Raw genomic sequence first — 9,729 nt, forward strand, 5'->3', positions numbered from 1 at the left:
CCTATGGAACTGTGAGAAATACATTTCTGTTCTTCAGAAATTACCCAGCCTAGTGTATTTTCTTATATAGTAGCACAAACTCATTAAGGCACAATGCCTCTTGACATTTTCTTCTACAATTTTCTTTGTTGCCTCTTTAGCACTGGGTCATTTTATATTTGATCCTTCATTATATCTCTTACTTTCGGTTTTTCACATTTCTGTTCCAAGTGTATTCTTAGATGCATATTTTCCACTATTAATTAGCCTCAGGGGTTGCCAGGGAGTGTGTGTTTCTGTGCCACCACTGTAGGACTGTGTGTGTGTGTCTCCCATTCTCTCTTTTCTCTCTGTCTCTCACCCTCTGTGTGTTTCTTTCCCTCTCTCTGTCGGTCTGTGTGTGTGCGTGTTTGTGTGTGTACGCCCGTGTGCGTGTGTATCTTTGGACGAATGTGCTCTGTTCGCCAAAATGCGATTTTTTCCATGTCGGCCAGTCTTTGTTGAGCCTCTCTGCCTGGGTCCCGTGGCCGGTTGTCCATCATTTTCACGGCGGTTCCACTTTGGGTTTTTGAAGTCCTCGATCACGTGAGGAGACGCGTCGGTCCCGGAGCAATCGAAGTCTCATCCCCATCCTGAGCGGCCTCTTTTCTAGGATCAAGAGGACCACACTCCAGCCCAGGACAAAACCCAACAGCAGCTCATTGTCCGGCAGGAGAGGAGCAGACCCACCTCCAAGAAGATGGTTGTACCCCTGCACGGCTCTTCTCTGAGCAATGAAGCCACACCACGATACAATTCTGAGGAGGAAGCCGGGAATGGGAGACGGCAACAATCCCTGTCCCTGGAATGCTGGCCTCTCTGGACAAGTCACGCGTTTCACACCCCTCCCCTTATGCCCGTGGCAGTGGCAAGGTCCTGTAACCTGCCTGGGCTCTGGCCTCTGCTCTGTCCTCCCTCTTGCTCTGTCTCCCCTGTTTCTGAGGGGCCTAGTTGCCTCTTGGTCTGGCTAATAACTTCTACGAAGATCGCTTCCCAGTCCATCAGGGAGACACTTTCTGGAGATGCGTGACATGACTCTTTCTCTCTCCAAACCTGTTTCTGCTGGATTGGGCAGGTCTGATAAGCCTGGAACACTTGGCTTCCATGCGTGTCTCAGACAGGGAAGCTTCTTTGGTCTCCTTGCTTCACCTCATGGGTGGGTGGATTGCCTAGAATAAGCGCTAGGTGATCATGACTGGCCTTGTCTTCTAGGACAGGTGGTGTCCCATTTCCTCTGCACGTCCTGTCTTACAAATGAGGGATATCCTCTCCTCTGCTCATAGGTGGACTGATTCCTTGAATCTTTTGGCTGTAATGAATGTCAGGAAACCAAAGGAACTGGGCTGGGCCTGGGGATGGGTTTGGGGCTGGGTGCAGGGAAGGTTGCGTCAGGGCTACCTGGGCGGTGGAGGCTTCGGGGTGGGGTGAATGTTGCAGAAACCTGTGTGCTCCTCTGGCAGGCATTTCAAAATGTGGCTTGGACTGAGGCACAGGCCCTGTCCAGGTTCCCAGGTCTTCTTTGAGTTCCCTTGGCACTCAGGGAAAGGCCACTTGATCCCCCTTTCCACTGGGCACATGCCTGGACACCACTGTTGGTTTCGCCGTCACCCCATTTGCCTCCGGTGACGCACATTCACACCATCTGCTGTGGGATATGCCAGTGCCACGCGTGATCGCATTGTCTCCACCTCGGCTTCACACCGTCCCTGTTTGCACCTGTCCTGGAAAGCGGTGTCCGCTTGCAGGAGCCCCAGGGCTTTTAGAAGCGGGGCACGCCACTGCTCTTTCAACGGAGGAGGGAGGCAGAGGGCTCACGGATCAGTGAACTTTCAGCTGACACCACGCCTTGAGGGCCATGGGATCATTCTGTGCTGCAGCGAGGACCTGCCTGCCTCACCAGATGTGCTGAGCCCATCCTTTCTAACCCGGAGGGGTCCAAACTAGGATCTGAAGAGGAGTCCTGAGAACCCAGCAGGCACCCTGAAGATCCCCCTCCATAGGTGGAAGTCGGCTCAAGGAGGTCCTGAAGACTGGACTCCTGGGGGGTTGGCCCGGGGACAGGATACTCAAGCACTCCTCTCCCACCCCGCCCCAAACTGGACCTCAGCCCCCACGCCACAGCCCCCACTTTCTCCCCAGAGCTGAGGGACAGACAGAGAATTGCGACTAGAAATTCGATAGATTGGTATGAGGGACCACGTGGCCAGGGGCTGGCCAATGACCAGGCCGCCCGGGATGAGCTAATAATGGAAGCAATTTGTAACTTTCAGTAACTCTCTAGGCCTGGGTACCGGAGGGAGGGAGGCGGGCAGAGGAGGGGAGATGGGCACCCCCAGTTTTTCCATCCTCCTCATTCGTCTAGGGGCACCCGAATCCCCTATTCCTTATTTCCCCTATCACTCAGGCACTGGCAGGGTCCTTTTCCCACTCCTGTTGGCCGCCGCGGCTCCAAAGCGAGGTAAGCTGGTCCTCTACCCCTCAAACTCTTCACAACCCTCATCCCGTTTACTAGCACCTGCAAACCACAGCCTCCCTTCCTGTCCCATTAGTGAATTTAAATCGGATTTTGTTTTTCCTCTTAGTTGAAAGAAAAAAATTCTTTTTGTATTCTTTTGTGTAACCTATCTCGGATTTGGAGAAAATTTTAATTCAAATTAATACACTTATATTGGGGGGGGGGTGAGAGGTACTTTCCTCCTTTTCAATAAATTTCTATACTTGCTACTTTATGGAGAGTTTACTTTTCTTTGGGGATGAGTTACACCTTATGTTTTCACATGTGTTACTTCTTTAATGATAAGTGCAACTCCTTTCTCCATTCCATCCTCCAATTTTGCTATTTATAAATATCACCTAATGGATTTAGAGTTTATTCATTTTTCTCCTCCCTCACTAGTTTTTCAGCTGTTACAGAATCACCACAATTTATTTTTCTCTGTATGTGGATGAGGTTTTGTGTTGATTCCTCTTTTTGTTTTGTAAATGAATTTATTGTTTGGGAAACTCTTGGGGTGGTGTGTGTAAAAAAGGTCTTTTGATTAATTCCAACCTCTCCTCTTCTGAAGAACAATTTGCTTGAAATGTTTTGTGTATTTTCCTCATTTTTATTATGTTTAAATTTGAGGTATTTTACCTTCTTTAAAACCTGACCTCTTTTTAAAATTTAACCTTTTGCATGTTAAACCATTTTTAAGGTTTTTATTTTATAAACGGCAATGGTTAGTAGATTTACTTGCCTTTCCCTGACCTCCTTCATGCGCCTGCCTCCTCCATCTCAAAACTCCCATCCCCAGCTTCCACAATTCTCAGCTTCCAACGGACTCATCCTCCCCTCTCCTCCCAGCGAAGGACGGATGCCTGGGAAGTAGACAGTGTCCTTCTTGGGTCAGAACCTATGCTCTGGTTCTAGTTCAGGACACCTCCAGTCTCACCTCCAAGCCGGCAAAACGAGTGAGAGCAGAATTTCTGTCCAACTTTTTCATTTGGGACTAAGTTCTTTCCACTTGGCTGTATTCTGGAGAACTCTGATACATGAAATTGAATTTTAAATTCTCATTTTTTCCCTAAATTCTAAGAAAAGTGCAGGCAGATTGTTTTTCTTCCTTAAATGTAAGCTGTTAGCTTAGGGGTCAGCCCTTTGGGTCTTTTACCTCCTGGGGGAGACTTCTCAGAGAGACATACAGTGTTGATTCTTCCTTTTAGTTTTTGTTAAGGTAGAAGGGGCAGGGATTGGGGAAGCCCATATTGATCTCTGGCTCTAGCTCTGAACAAAGAAGGGTAGAGAGCTGGCCTGGGGACTTGTCCCTTTAGTCAGTAAGGTTTGGCTTAGGAGAGAGTTTGAAGTAAATCCCAGCTCTGAGGAAATTCTTCTTTTTAGCATTACTGTGAAAATAAATTATTAAAATAGTGTGACATGGCTTCAAACTATTCAGATTCCTTGAAGTAACAAAAATAAACTTACAAGAGTAATTTGTGTTTCCCAAAGATCCGCCTCCAGTGACTGTCCATTTCTCTCAGGGAAACAGAACCCAACTGGGCAGAAGTAAAAATGCCGCCCCTCCCCTTTCAGTTCCCCAGTCACATTGACATTCTGGGCACATTTGGCCCAGCCCCCGTGCCTGCTTCTCCCAAGTATGAATCTAAGTTACTATTAATAAGGGGCCACTCCAAGTTAATTGGCATTAAAAGAATTCATTTCAATTTGTTAATATTAAATGAATGCTCTGCACTTTAGCTCCCTTCTTCACCCTGGATTCCCAGATGAGTGATGGGAAGAGGGGGCAGGGAAGTAGAATGAGGATTTTATTTCTGGCTCTCCAGCTTAGCCACTGTGGTGCCTCCCCTGAGGGTGTGCGATCAGGCACAGTGGGGGACTGCTTGGGGAAAGTCTGATGTTCTTTTTTGGTGAAATTCATCTGTTTCAGCAGGAGTTGTGGGGGATGGTGGGTGGGGAGCAGAGGGAGAGGGACAGAATTGTTTGGGGGACTTCGTGGGGAGCGGAGGGACTAGGGAGAAAGTGGGAAGGGAAAGGGATGGAGGTCAACAGGAGTTTTGGAGAACAAGGGTTGAAGGCTGTGGGGGGTAAAGCAGATTCGTGAAGAACTGGTGATAGGAACTAAACAACCCACCTAGAAGGGGAGGGGCTTCAAGCAGGGGTGGGGAGGTGGGATTTGAGGCAAAACAGCTAGGAGTTCTGAAACTATTAATATCTAGCTGTGTGACTCAGGGCAAGTTGCTTAACTTTTCTCTCTGCCTTAGTTTCTTGACCTGTAAAACAGGGATACTAATAATAGAACTTATCTCAGGGGGTTATTTGGAATTAGAAGAAATACATGCCATGTGTTTTCCACAGTGCTTGGCACATAGAAACTGCCAGTAAATGTTAGCTCTTTTTATGGCAGAGTGGTTAACAGGATGGATTCTGGAGCTAGACGGCCTGGTTTTGAATCGCGGTCATGCCTTATGTGAGTTGTATGACCTAGGCAAGTTACTTAACCCCTTGTGATTTAGTTTCCTTGTCTGTAAAACGGGGTTAATAGTACCTAGCTCAAAGGCTGCTGTCAGGATTAAATGAGTTATATGTACGAAGAGCCTGGAACAATGCCCATCCCATAGGAAACACTATGTAAGCATTAGTTGTCATTGATATTGTTGCTCTTCTGATCTAGGAAGGTTGAAAATAGAGGCACAGGTGAGCTACTACTTACAGGCTAAGATTGGAATCAGATCAACTCTTTCACTCCTATCCCTGAAGCTAGTCCTGTAACTGGGTCTGCATATGTGGGCTTGGGGAGAGATCCTATAACCCTGGAAGCTGGGATATCCAAGTCCTTCCTCTGCTCTAGCTCTTGGGTTGGTGGTCCCTCCAAGACCCATAGACTCGAAGTCACTTCTTTTTCCCTGGGCAGGGTTGGGGTGGATCTGGTAATAGGAGAATTACTTTCTTGGTCTAATAACTCCCTTTAGTAGAGAGTTAGTCCTGGGAGTGTGAGTTGGGGGAGGTTGGGTAGAGCAGAGGAGATTAAATATCCTTTATGTACCAGCTCACACACACTTGACCTCACCAGAGGGTTGGGAAGACAGAGATTCAAAGAGATTAAGTGATCTGACAAAGTCCTAAAGCTAGAACTTGGCAGAGTTGGCATCTGAACTCTGATCTGCTTGATGACAAACTTAAAGCCCTTCCATTGCTGCATGCTTTTTGAAGGGAGGGATGGGACACATTTAAACTTGGGCCAGGACCATGGGGTAGATGGAAGATGGGCAAAGATAGAGTATTGGAGTGGGAAGTGGTCAAGCAGGAATTTTTCAATCATGGAAGATTTCCTGAGAAAAGAGATTCCAGATCAGGGTTCAGATGGTAGGGGAATGAGGATAGGAAGTAAAGAAGAGGGAGGGAGCCATGCATTGACAAGGAAGGAGAAGAAAAAAGAATTTATGCAAAGGCTGGTCAGAGTAATGGACATGAATTTGATTTGCCTTCCATTTGCCTTACCATTTATTGAAGGCATACTATGTACTAGGTACATACATGATCACATTTGATGTTCACAACAGCCCTGACAAGTGGGTTTCTTATCCCTATTTCCAAAAGAGATCATTGAAGTTCTGAGAGCTTAATCCCCACTTTAGGTTACACAGTAGTAGCTGGATTTCCTGGCATCAGAACCCTCACCTAGGCTGCCTCTGAGCATGGCTTCTGTGTCCCAGTCTCAATTTCCATGACTGTTTCAGGTCCTCCTGTTCCCCCACATTTGTAGTCACTCTTGGTGACTGGGAACAAAGGGCTAGAGTGTGAGCTGAAACTGAGACAGGGAGTGGCAGGCAGGCAGTGGGGACAGAAACTTTTCTCACATCCACCCATGTGAAGAAGATGGACAGAAGGGTGGTCTTTCTGGAGGGAGGCTTCCAAGCCACTTTCTGGAGACTGCTGATCTTGGGATGAATGGCAGGGACCTTATTGGGTAGGGGATGGATGGTCACATTGTTTTCTGGGCTGTAGACTTTATTTCCCTTCCTTTGGGAAGAGAAGAGGAAGAGGACAGCTCAGGTGTGGGTTTGAGCCCTGGATTAAGACTGCCCATTGTCCACTAAAATCTCTTCTTTCCTTGCTGCCCGAGGGTGGAGAGACACCCAGCTGGACACTCCATTTCCCAGCTGCTCTTGTTGCCAGGTGTAGACACAGGGGAATGTGAGGCGAGCATGTCCTCAAAGCCTGACGGCACTGGGTAAATTCTCCTTTGTGTTCTCTCTTTCATGAGCTGGGCAGATGTGCCTGAGACAGGTTTGACCAGGCAACTGAAAATATATCCCTAAGAGAAGACAAAACAAAGATATGAAAGGAACACACTTCCCTGACTGACTAGGAGGAACAGAGCTGCCTGCTGACTGGAACCGCTTCCTCCCAGACTAAGTGAGAAATAAACTTCTGTTTTCTATATGCTACTGTGTTTTGGGGCCTTTATGTTATAGCAGTTTTGCTGTCATCCTTTCTAATTCACCTTCTCACACCAGATATTTCAAATTAAAAAGATTATATCAGGCCAGGTGCGATGGCTCATGCCTGTAATCCCAACACTGTGCGGGACTGAGGCAGGTGGATCACTTGAGGCCAGGAGTTGGAGACCAGTCTGGCCAACATGGTAAAACCCCATCTCTACTAAAAAATACAAAAATTAGCTGGACACAGTGGCACACTCCTGTAATCCCAGCTATTTGGGAGGCTGAGACAGGAGAATTGCTTGAACCCAGGAGGTGGAGGTTGCAGTTAACCGAGATCATGCCACTGTGCACCAGTCTGGGCTACAAAATGAGATTCTGTCTCAAAATAAAAAACTGATTACATGAGATCACAGAATAACTATAATGATATTTATTGGGCCAGATAGTATGCGAAGGACTCTATGCACATTATTTAGTGTAATCTATGTGACAATCCTCTGAGATACGTGTTACTATTATTCCAATTTACACACGAGGAAACAGGTTCAAGGAAGGTAAGTTATGTGCTGAGGGACACACAGGAGGGGTTGGGGCTGGATTTCAAGCCCACTGGGTGTGCAGAACTGAGCCTCTTCACCGTGGGGGAAAATCCCTCCTGAGGACAGGGCTGGAAAAGCCATGGAGATCATCTTGTGCTTGGACAAGCCTCTCGCCAGTCACCACAGGGCCCTGAGACTCCCATTCCTACCTTCAAGAAGCTCAGCAGGCTACTACTCATGTTCATGTTGGGTCACTACATACGGTTTTATTTGAAGGAAGGAGCCCAGAGTTAAACTCATGTGAAAACCCCTGATAAATTCAGTCCCCTCCCTCTTTTTACTGGTGAGGCCCAGAGAGAAGATATGACTTGCTTAAGGTCGCACACTTAGTTTCTCTGTCAATCTTTCTAAATCTAGGACGAGTTCTCTTCCCACTGTATCAGGCTGCCTCAACAAACAGGGAAGTACAAAAATAGCCAAATCCAGGAAGGAGGGCAGTGGTCTGTGTCTCCTCCAATAATTTCATGGGACAGCCAAGCCTATTTCCTTGATTTCCCTTGTGCCCCTCCTGTCGGATATCTGCTTTGGGACCCATCTCTTTTGGGCTTGCAAAGAGAACGGGCTGCATCAGTTCTCTGCCCTCCGCATCACCCAGATGGTCAAACATGCAAAGGGAAAGGAGAGCTGGGGCCAGAGCCAAGGCAGGCAAAGAGACTCCTCGACACCCTCCAGTCTTTCCACATTTATATTTTTGGAATTTCAGGCTCCCTCCTCCCCCTGGACCTTTCCTAGTAGCCCACCAGGGAGAAGAAGAAGGAAAACTGCCATAAATTTCTCCTATTTATACAAGATGACAGAGTTTCTTGTGCCAGAAAAAACACAGAAAGGGAGCTGTCAGGGGAGAAGGGACCCAGCCCTATACCTTCTGGGGTCAATTTATCTTTCCGAATCGTGGTTTGGGGGCTACCCTAACATTGCCTGTATGAAATGCAGGCTTTGACTTGGGGCAACCAGGCCAGACAGCCCCTGAGCTTTGTTCCTGATCACAGTTTTCCTGCTTCATTTCAACTTCCCCCTACCCCTTACACTGTCTTTTTAAAAAACAACTTTCTTGAGGTATAATTCATGTGTCATACAATTCACCATTTGAAATGTACAATTCAGTGGTTTTAGTATATTCACATGTACGTCAAACCATAACCATAGTTAATTTTAGAACATTTTCATCACCTCAAAGAGAAATCTTGTAACCTTTAGCTATCACCTCCCTATCCTCCCATATTCCTTCTTGCCCTTAATAACACTAATGTACTTTCAGTCTCTGTAGATTTCCCTATTCTGGACTTTCATATGAATGGCATCATATAATAAGAGACCTACTGTGACTAGCTTCTTTCATTGAGCATAGTGTTTTCAAAGTTCATCCATGTTGTAGCATTTATCAGTACTTCATTCCTTTTCAAGGCTGACTAATATTCCATTGTATGGATATATCACACTTTGTTTATCCGTTCTTCTATTGGTGAACATTTGTGTTGTTTTCACCTTTTGGATATTACTATTCTCTCTTTCCTCTCATTCTCTAGACATCTTGGATAGTATCCAGTGAGGCCTGTGGGCAAGAATGGGTGTTTCTTATATTTGGGAACACCTAATATCCATGAAAGCACGGTCTTGGCACATGTCTGCTTTCATATTAAGTACATGTACTAGCTGGAATTTTCCTACCTCTATTGTTACTGAGGTGGGGCTGCTCCCTCCTTTTTCAATTCTCCCTTTTTATCACGATTGCTATGTTGGAAACTTGCTGACTCTTCAGACTAGGGGATTCAGATCCTTCTCTTGGGGCTTCAGAGACATGGAGTGGATGAATGAATGTCTTCCCATGAGGGAAGAGTTCCCTGAGTCTGGTCTCAAGTGATTCTCCAGTGCCTCACAGTGGAAGGAAGGTCTGTGAAGACTCCAGGGTCGAGGGAAAGTTATGTTCTTGGATGTATGACTGAGCCCAGAATCCAGGCCTCCAGTTTCCATCTCCTTGCCTGGACCATTTCAGTCTTCAGACATGCTTTGAGGTCAATCCAGTCACTCACCCAGCAACAGACACTGCCTCTGCCCTCATGGACCTTGCAGTTCTAGTGGTGAGAGTAAGATGAATACAAGTGAACAAAATGATGGCAAGTTGTTCCAGCTTGTTCAAACTTCTAAACACTGTTCAATGAATGAATGAACC

The 9,729-nt window shown here is 46.6% G+C and overlaps 1 long non-coding RNA gene across 1 annotated transcript in view, besides 1 other annotated feature; it reads left to right on the forward strand.

Annotated features, from left to right (window-relative positions):
* Window positions 1–9,729: part of a centromere (Linear centromere model derived predominantly from reads generated in PMID: 17803354. This region does not represent an actual centromere sequence, as long-range ordering of repeats and unmapped WGS contigs is not provided by the model. For details of model production, see http://arxiv.org/abs/1307.0035.) that runs on past both edges of the window.
* The window catches only part of FAM242B (family with sequence similarity 242 member B), an 11,757-nt gene continuing 4,372 nt past the window's right edge, over window positions 2,345–9,729 (forward strand). Inside the window, exons 1-2 of the long non-coding RNA NR_133643.1 lie at window positions 2,345–2,476; window positions 6,780–6,931. This is a non-coding gene — a long non-coding RNA (family with sequence similarity 242 member B). The remainder of the gene's footprint in view (window positions 2,477–6,779; window positions 6,932–9,729) is intronic.

The sequence above is a fragment of the Homo sapiens genome, chromosome 20 (assembly GCF_000001405.40).
Source record: "Homo sapiens chromosome 20, GRCh38.p14 Primary Assembly".
NCBI lineage: Eukaryota > Metazoa > Chordata > Mammalia > Primates > Hominidae > Homo > Homo sapiens.